This window comes from Homo sapiens, chromosome 2 (genome assembly GCF_000001405.40).
Source record: "Homo sapiens chromosome 2, GRCh38.p14 Primary Assembly".
In the NCBI taxonomy this organism is placed as follows: Eukaryota; Metazoa; Chordata; class Mammalia; order Primates; family Hominidae; genus Homo; species Homo sapiens.
In genome coordinates, this window is record NC_000002.12 from 211,681,699 (window position 1) to 211,701,540 (window position 19,842).

Genomic DNA, 19,842 nt, shown 5'->3' on the forward strand with positions numbered 1-19,842 from the left:
TTGTATTGATTGTTTCTTATTAATGAGTATTGAGAGTCTTTTATATATTCTGCAACTATTTTCTCCCAATTTTAGCCATGTCTTTCCATTCTTTTAATACTGTCTTTTGAAAGTAGAAGTTTTTCATTTTGATAACTTATCAACCTTTTTTTTGAATCATACTTTTGACATCATATCTAAAAAGTTTTTGGTGTGTCCAACCCAGGTTCACAAAGGTTTCCTCTGGTATTTTCTAAGTTTTATAGGTTTCACAATTATCCATATGATTCATTTAGAGTTAATTTGCACATATGGTACTGTATTAGTCATGGTTCTCCAGAAAACCAGAACCATTAAGACATTTTATACACATCACACACACACACACACACACACACACACACACACACACACAATTGGCTCACACAAGCAGGAAAACTGAGAAGTTTCACCATCTTCCACCTGAAAGCTGGAGACCTATGGAAGCCAGTGGTGCAGTCCCCATCTGAGTCTAAAGGCCTGAGATCTGAGAGGACTGATGATAAAAATTCTGGTCCAAGTCCAAAGGCCTAAGAACCAGAAGCATCAATGATGTAAGTTCCATTCCAAGAGTAGGAGAAAGATCAATGTTCTAGCTCAAGTAGCCAAGCAGAGAGAGTGAATTCTCCCTTCTTTCAACTTTTTATTTTATTTGGACCCTCAGTGTACCAGATGATGCCCACCCACACTGGTGAGGGCAATCTGTTTCACTTAGTATACCAATTCAAATGCTAACCTCATTTAGAAACATCCTCACAGACATGTCCAGAAATGATATTTAAAAAAATATCTGGTCAACCCACTCCCCAGTTAGGTTGATATATAAAATGAACAATCACAGGTACTATGTAAGGATCTATTCAGTTTTTGTATATGGATATTCAATATTTCCAGTATCATTTGTTGAAAAGATATCCTTTCTGTATGAAATTTGCATATTTATAAGAAATAAGTTGTTCATACATTTCTGGTTCTCTACTCTCTTCCATCTATTTCTCTCTCATAGTATTTTTCCATAATTTTACTTTTAATGTACTTGTGCTTTTATATTTGAAGTCCATGTCTTGTAAGCAGCAATCATTGAGGCTTGTTTTTCTTTATTCCAATCTGATAATCTCTGCCCTTTAATTAGGGTGTTTAAACCATTTACATTTAATGTAATAATTGAAATAATTAAGTTGAAATAATTTATCTTAGTTTTTTTTTTCCTGTTGGTCCATTCTGTTCTCTTCCTCCTTTTCTTCTTTTCTCTTATGTTTTGGATAAATTGATTATTAAAATGATTTTATTTTATTTCTATTTATGTTTTTCTGCATATGTGGCTTATGAGCTCTACAACTTTTGATTCACTATTTTATCTTTTGGGTTTATAATATAAATATTTTAAATTTAATATTTTATTCTGAAATAATTGTATATTAATGTGTAGTTGTAAGTAATGATACAGAGAGATACCGTGTTATAGATACCCAGTTTTATCTCATAAGATCTTAAAAAGTTTATAGTACAGTAACACAACCGGACATTGGCATTGATATAGGCAAAATACAGATTTCCTCATAGCAAGAATCCTTAATTTTGTACTTGTATCTTCACACTGACTTGTCTCCCACCTTCCCTTTAAACTTACCCATTAGAGCTCCATTGCTGCAACCTCTAATCTCTTCTCCATTACTATAATTTGGTAATTTTAAAATTTATATAAATGGAATTGTACAGTATGTAATTTTTCATAATTGGCATTTTTGTCAATTAGAATACATATGCAGAGATTCATCCAGGTTGTTGTGTTTATTGTTTGTTTCTTTTTATTGACCATAGTATTTCATAGTATGGGTTACTACAATTTGTTTATCTATTTACCCATGAAAGGATATTTGGGTTGTTTCCAGTTTGGAGCTACTACAATTAGGGCTACTATAAACATTTGTGTATATGATTTTGCATAAATATAATTTTCATTTTTCTGTAATAAATTCTCGGGAGTTAATTGCTGGGTTATATGGTAGTAACACTTTAGTCAGGGTTTTTTTTTTTTTAAGAAAGTAGCAAACTATTTTCTAGAGTGATTGTACCATTTTACACTCTCACCAACCATGTATTCATTATTACATTTCTCTGCATCTTCTCCCACATTTGATTTCATTACTCTTTTTATTTTAGCCATTCTGATAGGTGTAGTAATATCTCATTGTGTTTTAAATTTAGATTTCCATAAAATGGCTAATAATGTCAAACATTTTTAATATGCTTATTTTTCATTTATATACTCTCCAGAGAAATGTTTCTTCGTATTTTTGACCACTGTAATTAGATTTCGTTTATTTATTTATTTGCTATTTAGTGCTACTTTTTGTTCTTTATATATTCCATCTATCTATGAAACCATTCCTATAAACTTTATAATACTAATAAGGGAAGATGGGAGGGGGAGAAATGAAAATAAACCAAGTGGCCGGACACGGTGGCTCATGCCTATAATCCCAGCATTTTGAGAGGCCAAAGCTGGTGGATCATCTGAAGTCAGGAGTTTGAGACCAGCATGGCCAACATGATGAAACCCGATCTCTACTAAAAATACAAAATTAGCTGGGCATGGTGTTGCATGCCTCTAATCCCAGTTACTCAGAAGGCTGAAGAGGGAGAATCGCTTGAAACCGGGAGGTGGAGGTTTCAGTGAGCCAAGATTGCACCATTGCACTCCAGCCTGGGCAACAAGAGTGAAACTCAATCTCAAAATAAAATAAAAAAAGAAAAGAAAAGAAAAGAAGAAAAGAAAAGAAACCAAGCTTGCAGGACACACATCATTAGTAATTAATGTAGCTTTCTATTGGACCTGCTTCCTCATAGTTGTTTGCTTTTGTCTCAGAGTCATGCAGACCCTGTTACAAGATTATAGTTCTCCTTAACTGCTCTATAGCTAACTATTTGAACATTATGAAACATTAGGTTTTGCCTTAAGATGTTCTTTCATGTCCTGCATGCCAGAGAAATCACTGATGCCAGCTGGTCTGAAGGACCCCACTGATGCCAACTGGTCTGAAGGACCCTATGAGGAGATGACTCACCAAAGAATGGAGTTTCCACATCCTGATGACTTCATCCTTCTTACTCTGACCAACCAGTGGTCATAGTTTTCCAGCCCCTTGCTCTTAAAAACCCCAGCCCAGAATTCTCAGGGAGACAAATTTGAGGGTTTCCTCCCATCTCCTCACTAGGTTGCCCTGCAATCATTAAACTGTTTCTCTGCTGCAAACCCTGCTGTCTCAGAATATTTGTATATTACTGTACAGCAGGCATAAGAAGATATCGGTTCTGTAACAACTATCTGATTTGAATATCTCCTCTCCTAATCTGTAGCTTATACTTTCATTCTTATCTTAGGATATTTTACAGAGCAAATGTTTTTAATTTTGATGAAGTTGAATTTATCATTTTGTTTTTTATGGATTGTTCTTTGCATGCAAACTCTAAATTCTTTTCACCTAACTCTAAATCCCTAATGATTTCTCCATTTTTTACCTCAAAATTTTATAGCTTTATATTTTACATTTAATCTCATGACCTGTTTTGAAAGTTAATGTTTTTATAAGATGTGAGATGTAGCTTAGGGTTCGTTTATTTGCTCTATAGATGTTCATTTGCTCTGGCACTATTTGCTTTAAAGGCTACCCTTCCTCTAATTAATTGCTTTTGCACCTTTGTAAAAAATATATTGGGTATATTTGTGTCAGTTATTTCTGAGTTTGTTTTATTGATCTGTGTATTATCCTCTACCAATAACACACAGCCTTAATTATGGCAGCTATGTAATAATTCTTGAAAATATGTGGACTGAATATTCCCATTTCATTTGTTTCTTTTCCAAAATTGTTTTAGTTGGACTAACTTGTTTGCCTTTCCATACAAATTGTATAATAATCTTGTCTCTATCTCAACAAACCTTTTTGATATTTTGATAAGAATTGTACTAAAGCTGTATATCAGTTTAGGGAGAATTGACATCTTTATGATTTTGAGCTATTCAATACAGGAACACAGTAGGCTTTTGCATTTATTTACACCTGCTTTGATTTCTTTCATCAGTATTTTGTAGTTTTCAGCATACAAGTCCTGTATATGTTTTGTTAAATTTACACCAAAGTATTTCATCTTTTAAGTAATTATAAATAGTATTATAGTTTTAATTTCTATGTCCCCATGTTAATTACATGTATTCAGATACAATTAAACTTTGTAAGTTTTATCTTCTATCCTATAATCATGCTGAATTTGCTTATTTATTTTAGGAGGTTTTTGTAGATTTTTTGAAATTTTTTATGTACATAATCATGCCATCTGTGAATAGAGAGATTTTTTTTCCTTTTCAATCTATATGCTTTTTCATTTCTTGCCTTATTTGCTAGGTAGAACTTTCAATACTATGTTAAATGAGTGATAAGAGAGGTCTTTCTTTTCTTGTTCCCAATCTAGTGCAAAAGCCTTCAGCTTTTCACCATTAAGCATAATGTTAGCTGTAGGATTTTTGTAGATGGTCTTCATGAAGGGGAGAAACTTACTCTGAATTTCTATTTTTTTCTGAGATTTTTAAACAGAAACAAGTGTTAAAATTTTCAAATGCTTTTTCTGTATCAATTGACATGATAATGAATTTTTTCTTCCTTGGGCTGTTAATATATTACATTTTTGATTATCAAATATTGTGCCAATCGTATATCCCTGGAATAAACTCATTTGGTTATGTTGTATAATTCTTTGTATATATTGCTGACTGCTATTTGCTACTACTTTGCTAAGGAGTTTTGCCTCTAGATTCTTTTTTTTTTTTTTTTTTTTTTTTTTTTTTTTGAGATGGAGTCTCGCTCTGTCGCCCAGGTCGGACTGCGGACTGCAGTGGCGCAATCTCGGCTCACTGCAAGCTCCGCTTCCCGGGTTCACGCCATTCTCCTGCCTCAGCCTCCCGAGTAGCTGGGACTACAGGCGCCCGCCACCGCGCCCGGCTAATTTTTTTTGTATTTTTAGTAGAGACGGGGTTTCACCTTGTTAGCCAGGATGGTCTCGATCTCCTGACCTCATGATCCACCCGCCTCGGCCTCCCAAAGCCTCTAGATTCTTTAGAGATACATTGGCCTTTAGTTTTATTTCTTTTTGGAGGGGGTATTCTTTCTTCATTTATGAATACTAATATTCAAAGCCATCATGAAAAACAGGAATGATCATGGATTTTATAGGTGGGCAGAGTCACAGAGAGTGTAAGCTGCCCAAGACCACAAGAGTTGGGTTAAAACCCAATACTGGGCTGGGCGTGGTGGCTCATGCCTGTAATCCCAGCACTTTGGGAGGCCAAGGTGGGTGGATCACGAGGTCAGGAGATCGAGACCATCCTGGGCTAACATGGTGAAACCCCATCTCTACTTAAAAAAAAAAAAGTACAAAAAGTTAGCCAGGCGTGGTGGTGGGCGCCTGTAGTCCCAGTTACTTGGGAGGCTGAGGCAGAAGAATGGCGTGAACCCAGGAGGCGGAGCTTGCAGTGAGCCGAGATCGCACCACTGCACTCCAGCCTGGGTGACAGAGCAAGACTCCGTCTCAAAAAAAAAAAAAAAAAGACAAGAAAAAACGAAAAAAGAACCCTCCCACAATATTGCCTAGTATCTATCACTCAGTGGAGATGAAAATGTGAACTCCATACCCTGCCTTCTCTGACATCACATGGAAGGGAGATTGGCCTGGTGAGAGTAGAAGTCTACACTCTCCTCTCTTTTGCGAGCTTGACTGAAGTTTGTTTGTTTGTTATTTTTAGCATTGTATGTTTGTTTGTTGTTTTTAGCATTGTATGTTTGTTTGTTGTTTTTCTGTGGTGTTTGGCTGGAGTGGAGCAATTATTGTCTAAAAGGTTTCTGTCTTGTCTACCTGCCCCTTTCCAGATTCTTTGAGTAGAAAGAACAGGCTTTTGTTGGGGCTTTTTTTTATCTGCATCTGTTGGGGATTCTGAGTTGCCAGTTTCTTCATCTTGAAATCTGGGATATATGCAGCAAAAAGAAAACTCAGAGAACTCACCTCTGCATTGTTCTTTGGGTTCCAAGATCTCACACCTGTCTGTCTCTTCTGTCCACCTTTCAGAGTTGTCTTATAATGTCCAGGGTTTTTATTTGTACTTAGCGGGAGGAAAAGGTAAAAGTATGTTTCCTCCATCTTCACAGAAGCAAAATCCCAGTATATATCTTTAATTTATTACAGGCTGTTTTCAAGTTATACTCTACCACTTCACATCTATTCTAAGGATCTTAAAATCGGATGCTTTTATTTCTTCATTCCTTACCTTTGAGCTATTATCATACATCTTACTTTCCCATGTTATTCACTCCACATTACATTGTTACTATTTTCGATTTAGCATGACATCGTATTTGAAGACAACTAAATAATAAGATGAAAATTTTATATATTCATCCATGTAGTTACCATTTCTGGTGCTCCTCAGCCTATGTACAGATCCACATTTCCATCTGGTATTATTTCCTCCTGTCTGAAGGACTTCCTTTAATATTTCTTACAGCGCAGTTGTCTCTCTGTGCTGCTTTCCTCTCTGGTATTGTCTGTCAACTCTAGCTGCATTATTCTGCCTGGACTCCTAGCTCTGTCTTCTCAACCTGGAGTTCTTGGGACTCTGCCTGGGATCTCCCTCATTATACTGTGGCTTAAAATCTCTCTCAAGGCACTTAGCCAGAGCAGTCATAAGGCTCACCTCATTTATTTTCTCACTCTCAGGAATCACTTTCCCTTGTGTTCTGCTCTCCAGTCTATTGCAAACTATTGTTTCATCTATTTTGTCCTTTTTTTGATTGTTTCATGAGGCAGGGTAAATTCGATCCCTCCCTTTTGTTATTTCATCTTTGTCAGAAGTGAACATCTTATATTTACTTTTAACAATGCAAAGTGGGATTACTTGCTGTTTCTTGTTTACAGACAAAATTTTTCACATAAAATTTCTCCCAAATGATCCAAAAAAGCTGCTAAGCACCCACTAAGCTTCATTTAAAACTATATATTCTTCTATTCTAATTAACTTTGTAGTTATTTTAAATAACATAAAGAGAATTTTTAAAGATAATCTGAAAGAACAGAGACTAAATGGAATGCTTTCCTGTGTAGATAGGATTGACCCTATGCTTAAATATATTATAAATTATTTTAGGTAACTCATAGTTTGCAGGTTTTACTTAATTGTGGTTTTCTCCATGTCTTAAATATTTATTAAAATGAAATATCATATATTATGACATTTTATCTTCTTATCATATCTAGACTCTCTTCCCCTGAAAAGCTGAATGATTTGATGTTTTGCTTGGGAATGGCTTATCAACAGTTTCTCTGTTATATTAATTTTGAACCAATAGCAATAGTGCTTATTTCTTTCTGATTTAGTCATAATACAGAGGAAGAGGTTTCTCTCATTCCACAAAAGAAATGTCAGCATAAATGGAATCTGTTTGTTTGAAACAGTGTTTCACTCTGTTGCCCTGGCTGGAGTGGAGTGGTGTGATATGGGCTCACTGTAGCCTTGACCTCCTGCGCTCAAGTGATCCTTCCACCTTAGCCTCCCAAGTAGCTTGGACTAAAGGTATGCACCATGACACCTGGCTACTTTTTTGTTGTTGTTTTTGTAGAGATGGAGTTTCACTACGTTGCCCAGGCTGGTCTCGAACTCTGGGCTCAAGAAATTCTCCCATCTCTGTCTCCCAAAGTGCTGGGATTACAGGCATGAATGATTGCACCCAGCCAGAAATATAACCTTAACATAGGTCTTATATCACCAGTTCCCAAAAAGTAGAATATGAATGACTTCGCACTAATTTATAAAGATGTAAAGAGTAAAAAGATAGTTTAACCAAACTGATTAAATATAAATGGGTGGTCGAATTCTATATAATAGACAAAGTTATAAAAGTAGCAAAGATCAATTATATTTATGAATATTAAGTTACAATACTCATTTTATAACCATTTAGACATTTAAAGGTTACTTATCAAGTATCTCATTTTCTGACATATATCGTTATATACAGTGTTTACATACTCTTGCTAATGGGATAAACATGATCTTCAGAGGAAATCCTGAAGAGGGAAAGTTGTATTATGAGAACAACTTGTAAAGAGAAGTAGAGAATGGTTAAAATTATACTGTACGGTGTCACGAGTCTCTCCGTATTGATCACTTTTGTTTTCTTTTTTTAATATGTTTTATCAAGTTCTATCTCAGGCCTTCAATTACAGATAATTTTATCTATCTATCTAAAATATATATATACACTTTATAGATATGATATATAAATATATATCAATGTAATATATATTATGTATAATATATAATATACATCTAATATATATTCAGTGCTAAGTTAATATAGAATATAGCAGTTGTCTTAAGTTAGTGTTCTAACTTAACTCAGTTTCTTTCTTGAGGACATTGACAAGGTCACAAACATTCCCTTGGCACTGTCTATTTTATGATATTCCATAAACTTTTGGGTCCATTTATTTTACCATATCACGTTATTTACTTTCAGGTTTGCTATCTTCTCCCTCTTGTCCCTTCCCCTTACCTCTGCTAAAGGTGACAGCACTTTACAGTAAGTGGAAGGGTAAAGGCTGACTGCTTTGATCTTTCGTTACATGCTTTGACATAAATTGGAGAGGAAGCTTCAGCTTCACCCAAAATCTTACCTCTCTTCGGCTGTCTAATGCCTCCCTAAGTCTTTATCATATGCCCAATTTCAGAGCAGTTTCGGGTCAGGGAAACAATATCTATTGGAAGAAATCAATAATAAACAGGAAACCGTCATAACTATTTTCTTCTCATTCTTTCCAGACCAATAGATGATGGAAGTGAAGATTGGTTGATCATTTTCTCTAGAGTGAAACCAAAGGAAGTATCTCCACATAGCATAGAACAAAAGGCCAAGGAAGCCACTTCTTTGAAATTCTTAAGAGAAAAGAAATTTTCGATCAGCACCAAGAATTCAACAGCCCTCTGACTTCCTGCAGTGATAGTCATGAGTGAAGGAGTGGAAGGGCTCTGCAATGGCTTACAGTTCAAAAGGCCATTATAAATCTCTCTAAAGAAACTTTAGCAATGTAGTTATTAGGCAACCTTTAACTTCTTCTGTGTTTTCTCTGGAAGCTGCAAAATAGATTTTTCTTTATCTCATCTGAATTCCAGCTGTCTGTTAAAAATTTGGAGAGATAATAATGTGCTTAGTATTTTGACCTTTACCGAGAACACTGAACCTGCTTTAACTAAACTAGAGGGAAGCTTTAAGTAATGGATTTTGCTACAGTTTTACATGTGAAAGTAAACAGATTATTTCAAAAATATTGAAATGTATTTGGACAGGTATTGTTCATCTTTTTTTTAAAAGCTGAGAAGTACTGTTTAGTGGTCATCATAGTTAAGGTTTTGTGATTAGACATAGATTTAAACCCTTACTCTGTAATTACCCAGGTAGCCTTGGGCAATTACTTACATGCTACTTATCTTTAAAGTGAACAGTAATATCTTCTTTCAGGATTGTGATGAAGATTAGACATAAAATTAGTAGAATTTTTAATACAGGGTCTGAGACATTAAGTAAATGCTCAATACATGTACTCAAGAGAAATGTGAAGGCATAAAAGCATATCCCTGTGTTTATTTTGAAAAATATTTATTGAGAAACTACTTTTTGCTAGCTCTGCTAAGAGCTGAGGATATAACTGAAACATGAAATAGAATACATATTTTGTTACCTCATGGAGTTTACAGCTAATTAGAAAAACAGGCTGCACATAAATTTATGTATGCATAGAAACATATGTGTGTGTGTGTGTGTGTGTGTGTGTGTGTGTGTATATATATAACAGATTGCTGAGAGAACATAGAATACAGCAGTTGTCTTAACTTAGTGGGCAAATGGCATTAGGTCAGCCCACAGAAGAAGGGACATTAAAGCTGAAATAAGAAGGGTAAGTAAGAGTTCTTAAGGCAAAGGGGTGGGGGAAAGGGGCAATTGTAACTCTAGCCAAGAGAGTCTGAGGAAGGAATAAGGTTAGTGCTCTCAGAAAACTGACATGGGCAGCATATGGGAAAGTGGTACCCTGTAAACTGGTGAGATGGAGAAGGGACAGATTGTGCAGGACCTAGTGGCCATTTTTAGGATTTTGTGTTTTGGTCAAAGAGCTGTCGGAATCCGTTGAAAGGTTCTAAGCAGGAGAGTAAAGGACCTCCTATTTCAAAAAATGTCACTTCAATTTCTTTGATGGGATTGACTTGAAGGTATATTTGAATAGTTGGTGACAAGGAGATAATAGCGATAATAGAGATAGGCGTTTGACCCAAATAGCGTCAATCTGTACTGAAGAGGGAAGGTAGAGCTTTTTAATCTGTGTTCATAAACTCTGTGAATGCTCTTAGCATATGCCTGCCAGGGCCAGTCATCTTTCATGAAGAATGAGAATTTGCCTAAGAGGAAAGCAGAGTGAAGCAAATAGAGGATTGAGCCCTAGTGATGTTGTTCGAACCCCTGGATCCAATTGTGTCCGAAAAGCTATTTCTTGGACTTCTCATTTCTGTGAGTTAATACAGTCTCTTTATGCCTAAAGTAATCTGGGTTGGACTTATATCACTAAAAGAATACTGAAATAATTTCCTATTCATGCTGTAACAAATTACTACAAACTTCATTGCTTAAAAACACCTACATTTAGTCTCTCATAGTTCTGGAGTTCAGAAGTCCAAAATGACTCTTAAGGGGCTAGAATCAAGGTGTCAGCAAGGCTGATTGCTTCTGAAGTCTCCAGGAGAGAATTTGTTCCTTGCCTCTTTCAGCTTTTAAAGACCCCTTTGGCGTTGGCTTGCAGTGACATTGCTCCAACCTTTGCTTCCATGGTCCCATCACCTTTTCCTTTACGGTAGTCAAACCTCCCTCTACCTTCCTCTTATAAAGACACGTGTGATTATATTTGTAACCCACTCAAATAACTTTAGGATAATCATTCTATTTTAAGATCTATAACATCTGCTACGTCCTTTTTACCATATAACATTCATAGGTTCTGAAGATTTGAATGCAGTCATCCTCAGGGGGCCATCATTCAGTCTTTCATAAGCACTAAACTGTCAATAAGCTCTGTGTGTAGGCAAGGTTAGACATGTGTAAAGTGTAATGACATTATATGACATTGTAAAAAATTATAATGGGTTAACAAAGAAGTTGGGGAAGCAGCAGTGGAGAAGTAAGTGCAGAAACATACCCCTTCCCCATGTTGAATAGGTTAAATAGATGCTACACAAATTGTTGTTAACTCTTATATACCCTAGTTACTCTATATCTCTGATGTGAGTGGGACCAGAGCAGCAAATTCTGATAGGAGGAGGTGAGAGGCAGTAGTGACAGCAGAAATAAAATTTTAGAAAGTCTTAAGGTTTGATTAGAAAACTGAGCACAATATAAAATACCTCTCAGAAGAGATATGTGTCAAAAAAATAAAATGAATCCAAAAGTATTTTGTTGAAAGTCTAAAGTAAATAAAATTTGATAGTACAATACTTATTATAGTATAATTACCCAATTACTGTATAAACTATAATTAAATATTCCCTTTATTTTATTGAATATGTTATTGTTAGTAAATGCAAAAAAACCCCACTATTTATAGAATGCTTTTTAGAGTTAGCTCTTTATCTTTTTCTCCCAAACCTATATTATTAAATATATGGTTTTAAGCTATTCAATTATGAATTTTCCTACAAGGGAACACAGCTTCAGAAGAAAAAAGGAATTGTTAGGATCACATGTTCTCAAATGTCTTTTTGACTATAGAACGATGGGGGAATAATATGGGGTGTGACAGAGTAGAGTTTCCCAAAGGATTTCCCACAGGCATCTGTCTCAGAATGATCTGCTTTGTATTAAAAATGCAGAATCTAAGGTTTCCCACCCCACTGTCTGTGTTAGTTCCATAGAAATAGTGTAACAAACTGCCATAAACTAGGCTTCTTAAAACAACAGAAATTTATTCTCTCACAATTCTAGAGATCAGAAGTCCAAAATCCAGGTGTTCGCAGGCTAGTTTCTTCTTGGGCTCTCAGAGGGAGAATGTTCTATGGTCCTCCCCTAGCTTCTGGTGGTTGCCAGCAATCCCTGGCATTCTGGGCTCACCTCTATATCATTCCAATAGTCGCTTCTGCTGTCACACAGCTGTCTTTCCTCTGAGTGGGTGTATGTCTTCACATGGCGTTCTCATTTGTGTGTGTCCATCTGTGTGTCTCTTCTCTTCTTCTTGTAAGTACACTAGTCATTTGATGAAGGACCTACCCTGCTCCAGTATAAGCTCATCTTAACTTTCATTTTAACTACTTGTGCAAATACCCTATTCCCAAATATGGTCACATTCATAGATACCAGGGGTCAGGACTTCAGCATCTTCTGGAGGGGACACAATACAACTCACAACACTGTCTAAATAAGAATCTCTGGAGAACTGGAGCCTAGCTTTTGCATTTTTAATAATTATAAGTTTTACTTTAAAATTTTGCAACCACTGATGTAGAGGCAAGTCAGGTTAAAATATCACCCACCATTTGTAATAAAAACTGGAGCCTGCAGTAATCCTGGCTTTTATTGTTGAGATATCATTCTCTCAGAATTTCTAGATTACAAAATAGAAGGGATATCATTTCTGTAGCTAATTGGCAAGAGTAACTGCTTATTATCCTTTTGATAAGAACATAGTGAACATTTTCTAGCATTGTTAGTAATTAGACAGTGTGCTGTTTCAAATACAATAACAAAATCTTACTTGAATGCTTTTTTTTTTTTACAAAGAACAGTGTATTGATGTATTACTCTAGTAATTTTAAAAGGAAAATCTTAGAAGTATAATTAAGATTTTCTATTTTCTGATTACTCAGAAGAATAGCGACTTCACTATATTCAAAGTTACACACTTTATGGTTCATACCAAGCTATGGTTTAATGAAATCTGTCGCAGAATTCATTGATTTCCCAGGCTCCCAGACCCAAAGGATGATTCTTCTAACTTGGTAGGCTGCATTTTGTTTGTAAAAGCACATTTACTCAAGATAGCATGGGATGGGTTAGGAGTGCACAAATTAAAGGTGAAAGTATGGGAGCAGGAGAAAGTAAGAAAATCTGCCACCTTAGTAATATTTTCTTAAAATAAGGTAAATCTTAATTTATAATCAAAATTCATTTTCTATAATATACAACATATTAGAAATGACGACGATATAAAGTCTGTTTATTTTATAGAAATCCAACATTTCTTATGATGTTATAGTAAGTAAAATGCTTGCTTCTGTATTTTGTTGTTTTATCACAGTTACCAGAGAAAAACAAATAAAACAATATATTAAGCAAACACTGTTTTATTCTCCACTGTGTGATATACCTTCCATTCCCTACTTATTAACTCTTTGGCCTGCTTCAATTCTGGACTCACTATAAAGTTGGATGATGTTGTCATCCAGAGAGTTCAGTTATTAGCAATTAACTATAGTTCTGAAATTACCTTTTTCTAGATTCATGTACAATGGGGTGGATTTTTCTACTGTCAAATTTCAGAAACATAAAAACCAGAGATAAATATAAAAATGTGTATCCTTTTTGGCTTCTTTGTGCCAAAAAAATATATTCCCCATCACCAGATATTTTTCCCCTGAGCCATTAATTTAAACTTGATATTTTTTGGAATTTTTAAAAATACTAAGTCTGTTACTTATCATAAAGCCAATTTTAAAATGTTTTAATTTAGAAGAGAAAAAAGAAAAATAAATATATTTCAAGGGATTCTCAAACATATACTTTTTATCTGCTTATGATTTTGAGATCATTTCTAAATTCTTCAATGTCTAGCCTCCTGTTAATAACATAATAACTAATATTCCTTCCATATCTCCCAATGGTTGATGTTTTTCTCACAAATTTTTAATTCACCACTTTAATAAGGTAAATTTTTCTTCTGCGTAAAAAAGAAAGCTCTTGATATTTATCTTTCCTTTTTATCCCCCAAAAGGCATTTTTTCATAAAGTAAAATTAAATATTGTATCTTCACATTACATGTGTATATATGAATGTCTAATATATAAACTATTTTTAATAGGAAAATAAAATGTTTAGTAGTAACAATATCTAATACATGTATAGCTCGCTCTTGCTCTTTCTTTTCTTTCTTTTTATTTCTTCTTTCTTTTTATCCTTCCTTCCTTCCTCCCTCCTTCCCTTCCCTTCCTTCCTTCTTTCCTTTCTCTTCCTTCCTTCCCTCCTTCCCCTTCCCCCCCTCCCTCCCTCCCTCCTTCCTTCCTTCCTTTCTTCCTCTCTCTCTTTCTTTCTCTTTATCTCTTTCTTTCTCTTTCTCTCTTTCCTCACTTTGTTGCCCAGGCTGAAGTGCAATGGTGTGAACTTGGCTCACCACAACCTCCACCTCCTGGATTCAAGTGATTTTCCTGCCTCAGCCTCCCGAGTAGCTGGGACTACAGGCATGCACCACCACACCTGGTGAATTTTTGTATTTTTAGTAGAGACAGGGTTTCACCATATTGGCCAAGATGATCTTGAACTCCTGACTGCAGGTGATCTGCCCACCTCGGCCTCCCAAAGTGCTAGGATTACAGGTTTTAGCCACTGTGCCCAGCTATGTATAGCACTTTCTTTGAGCCAGGCCTTCAATGAGGTGAATACTATTATCTATTCCATTTTTAAAATGATAAAACTGAGGTATAGAGACAATAAGTGATCTCCGTAAAGGTCAGATAGCAAAGAGTTCTGCTGAGATTAAAACCCAGGCCATTTGGCTCTAGAGTGTGCTCCTGAATAATATGTTATATAGGGTATACTTCAGTAAATCATCCAATTTTCTTATGAAAATTAATCACATTTTCATTATTTTTATTTTTATTTATATATATTTTTTGAGAAGGAATCACTCTCTGTTGCCCAGGCTGGAGTACAGTGGCGTGATCTTGGCTCACTGCAACCTCTGCCTCCTGGGTTCAAGTAATTCTCCTGCCTCAGCCTCCCCAGTAGCTGGGACTACAGGCACCTGCCACCATGTCTGGCTAATTTTTGTATTTTTACTAGAGACGGGGTTTCACCATGTTGGCCAGGCTGGTCTCAAACTCCTGACCTCAGGTGATCTGCCCACCTCTGCCTCCCAAAGTGCTGGGATTACAGGCGTGAGCCACCATGCCCGGCCAATATTTTCTTTATTTTGAGAGGAATCACGGTGAAATGAAGAGCCTAGACTTTGAAGTCAGACAGGCATTGGGTTCAAATCCTTAATCGGATTTTAGTAGCTCCAAAACTGGAAATATCATTTAACTTTCTTAATGTATGTATACTCATCTGCAAATGCAGATGATTATACTTTACAGGGTGGTTGTAATAACTAAATTAAACAATATAGCTAGGTTGAGAGATAGAGTCTGGCACCTTTTAGCTGATTTGTTAGCTGATCAGCTAAAGTCAAAAAGGAGAGATGGCTTGTTTAATAAATTATTTTGGATCCATATTCCAATCAGGAAATTTTAAAAATGCTATGCCAAAATGTCAAGATGTGTTAAAAATTTCAATATTGTTTTTAAAGTACTAGATGAAAAGAATTGTCTAAAAATACAAGATCAAACAATTAAAAAGGAAAAGAACAATCTAGTCACTTAACTATATAAAAATATGGTTTGATAAACATTAGTTTATCAAAAGACAAATTATTCAAATTACCAGTAAGAGAGGAACTTATTCCCAACACATTTAAAGAACAAAATTTAATGAATTTAATTTGTAAATAGTTCTTTCAAATTTAGGAGAAAAAGAACAACTCCCAAATTAAAAATGAAAAAAGTTCACATATAAAGCAATTTACAAGATTTAAAAAAAGATAAATTAATCATGTAAATATAAAATACTTCTTTTCTTCTTTCAGATCACTGAAATTTAAAACCATAGATGATATCCAGTGATTTAAAACAGTGGTGGAAAACGTTACTATCCCACAGTGTTTGGAACAAGGTTAATTGATTTAGTATTTTTGGAAGATGACGTGGAAATTAGTGAGAAAATTTTTATGTAGCGTCATTTACACAGAAATTCCACATCTAAGTTTTTAGCCTCAGGAAATAATTGTACACTACAAAATGTTTCATAAACTAGATACACATCATGGCAGTAGTGATGATATAAAAATGGAAAATAATTTAAAATACAATTAATATGGTACTAGTCCAGCATACTTCTATAAATAGCTTTAAAAAGGAATGAGGAAGGTCAGGCATGGTGGCTCACACCTGTAATCTCAGCACTTTGGGAGGCCGAGGCGGGCGGATCACCTGAGATCAGGAGTTCAAGACCAGCCTAACTAACATGGAGAAACCCCGTCTCTACTAAAAATACAAAATTAGGCGTGGTGGCGCCTGCCTGTAATCTCAGCTACTAGGGAGGCTGAGGCAGGAGAATTGCTTGAACCAGGGAGGCAGAGGTTGTCGTGGGCCAAGATCGTGCCATTGCACTCCAGCCTGGGAAACAAGAGTGAGACTCCGTCTCAGAAAAAAAAAAAAAAAAAAAGGGGAATAAGGAAGAGCTCTATGCTCTATCTATTGAATGGGAGATGCTTATACTATATTAAGTATAAGATATAGATGGCTGAATGGTATTTAAATAGAAATGGTATGATCCTATTCATATACGAAAATATATATTTCACTATCCTTATCCATACATATGAAAAATATATTCACCAATAATTATATATAATGTAGTTTAAAAATATTTTTATATATTTTTGATTGGTTTTATATTGAACAATGAGAAAGGTACTATTAAAATTGTAAAAATAAAAATATTTTTATTTTGAAAATCAATAATGAATTTATCTCTTATTCATGTTGGGTTTAACAGTATCTGTATAAATATTTTTAAGATGAGATATATAAGTTCAAATAGAACTCAGATTCTAAAGGATTGGTGTAATATTTATCTCTACACTGCTTATATTTCAGTGTTAAAAATTTATGCTTAAACATTTTAAGAAACTTCAAATGCTTTTATAAACCTACTCTAAAACTTCTTCCACCTAACACTGTAATTTGGTTACTATCATAACCACGTAAATGATAGATGCCCAAAATATTCTAGCTTTTCATGTCCCAGAGTTTCCCGCAATCTCAATCTCTTCAAACCATAAAGTCAGCTTTGAAATTTTTGACTTAAAAGAGTAAGATTGCTCTAGCCACTGTTACCCTTTATAGATGAGTTAACTTTTTAAAAAATCGTCATTACTGTTTTAAATCATGCTGAATTCCAAAAAACACCATTACAAATGAAGGATTGCCTTTTCATTAAGTTCATAAGCCAACTCCTAGATTTAGATAAGTGTATTTGATGGTGACTGCATGTAAATGTAGGTGAGCATGTAAGGGTGTGTATGCACGGATATGTTTTCTAGGTGTGTATATATGCATGTGTGTTGTATGTGGAACTACATACAGACATGCACGCTGATATGCATATATGTTTAGGTGTTGTAGTGAACATGTGCGTATGCTCATGTACATCTTGTGTGTGTGTGATATAGCAAGACAGAATATCTAAAAATGAAACATTTACAGTGCATTTAAAATGAAGCAAGCATTTAGACATTCCCATTTACAAAGAGTACTGGGGATTGTAAACATCAGCAGCATCTCTGAGGTCAAGTTTACAGGGTAATTATATTTCTGAAAATGGAGGCATATGGAATTTTTATGGATCCGGTGTGCTGTGAGACTGAAGTCCAAATTTTGATAAATGAATTTCATGCAAAATACATTTATTCTAAGACGTTAAAAATGAAAAATGATATGCTTGATACTATAGCACCACAAAACTATGTTTCTCCTAACTGCTTCATTTTTTTCCCCAAACTGCAAAGTCAATTCTTATGCACAGAACAAAAAAAAAATATGCCTATGGTCTGAAAAGTAGCTAAACTCAATCCAAGAAGCATAACACTGAAAGTTTAAACACATTTTATATTTTAGCTTATTATCATTGTCATTATTCACTCTCTTTTGGTCATTTGAAATGTTTAGAAGTTTTAAAGAGGGGTGAAATAACATTATATAATTTATTGAAATATCCCTTTTTCCCATCTTGCTTCCCTACATTTATTTTTTTGCATTTTCTTCTTCCCATTTGCTTTTTAATTCAAGTATAGACAGATATATGACATATGAATTTTTGTAGGATTTGCAAACTGATTAAGTGCATCAAAGAGGAAGAATTTTTTTTCTGATTCTTTTATATATTTCTTTACATTATTTTGAATTCACAGTTAAATTTTTGAAAGGTAGTGGTACTAATTTTTTTAAGGATGTGGAAGGAAACGAGAGTATAGCCCTGATTTAGGGAAACATTCATCAATTGGTATTGAAGAAGATTCTATCTTATTGCCATGAATCATCTACTTTGGGGCATGTACACACACATATTGTGATATGGGGTAAGAAGCTTAAGTATTAAGGAAAAAGCACAACAAATTTTCTTTTAGGAATCAGTAATGTGTAAAACCAAGGAAATAACACAGGCCAAATGAAATAATGAATATCATTCAATATAACATGCATATTTTGATACACAATTAGATTTTACATTTCGTGATTCTATGTGGAACATGAGAATGAGTAAGAACTTAAGTTCACTCTTAGCAGGAACCTCATGTTGTAATAGATCTCCTTTATTTGGAAATATTTTTAAGGATCGAAAAGAGCTAAAATATAAGAGAATTCCTCACAAATTATAAGTTATATTTTATGAAGATTGGTAGACTGAGCTGCCTTAAATTATTTCTGGAACAAGATGGGGTCTTAATAAATCAATTAATTCACTGACAACTCAATAAACAAATTATGTTGGCCTCTTAAGAGTTTATAACTTTAAAAAAGTCTTCTATTTATTCACACACACACACGCACACACTCACACGTATACACGCACACACAAACTCAATCATTATTTATGTGTACCCTGGAGAGATCAAAGAAGTAAGCAAATACTGTGAGAGCAGAATTTTCTAGGGTTCTGCCTTTTAGAATGGATTGATTTTGTGCCCACAACAAGAATATTCATTTGCAAACAGTTCATTTGAGTTCGGATTCTTTTTATTCAGTATTTACCATAATGAGTCAGATGGTTGTACTCATAATAGTGGCACTCATAGGATGTAGGAAAGAGTAGTATTCAGTAGAAAAACAGGGAAGAATTAAGCATAAATCAACGGAGTATCAGTGTATTCGATAGGAATGGCATAGTCATGTGCCTACAAAAGCATTATTTGCTTCAGAGTAAATAAGAAATTATTCAATGAATCAATAAGTAGCAAAATAGATGAAAAAATGATATACATGTCTACATAAATGCATTAATAAAATAAACTTTCTTTCTGAAAAATAAAACACCTTGAACATATACTTCTTGAATAGTAGTTTTTACATGTTAGAAAAATACGTCATTTTTCTTACCACCTCTAAATGGCAAAACTCTGTTATTCTGTTATGAAACTCCCTGAAACCAAACAACAAACAGAGAATTCAATAGGGTCGATCTCCACAAATTGATTGGATCCTTGAAATGACCTGGGATGCCGATTAAACATGTAAATGCCCAGGTCTTACTTAGACCTAACTGAATCCAAATCTCCACAGGAGGGTTCTTAAGATCAGGCAAGACGGCCGGGCGCGGTGGCTCATGCCTGTAATCCCAGCACTTTGGGAGGCCAAGGTGGGCGGATCACGA

At 34.8% G+C, this 19,842-nt stretch overlaps 1 protein-coding gene across 11 annotated transcripts in view; it reads right to left on the reverse strand.

Moving 5' to 3' along the window:
* The window catches only part of ERBB4 (erb-b2 receptor tyrosine kinase 4), a 1,163,086-nt gene that overhangs the window by 305,982 nt on the left and 837,262 nt on the right, over window positions 1-19,842 (reverse strand). The window lies entirely within an intron of this gene.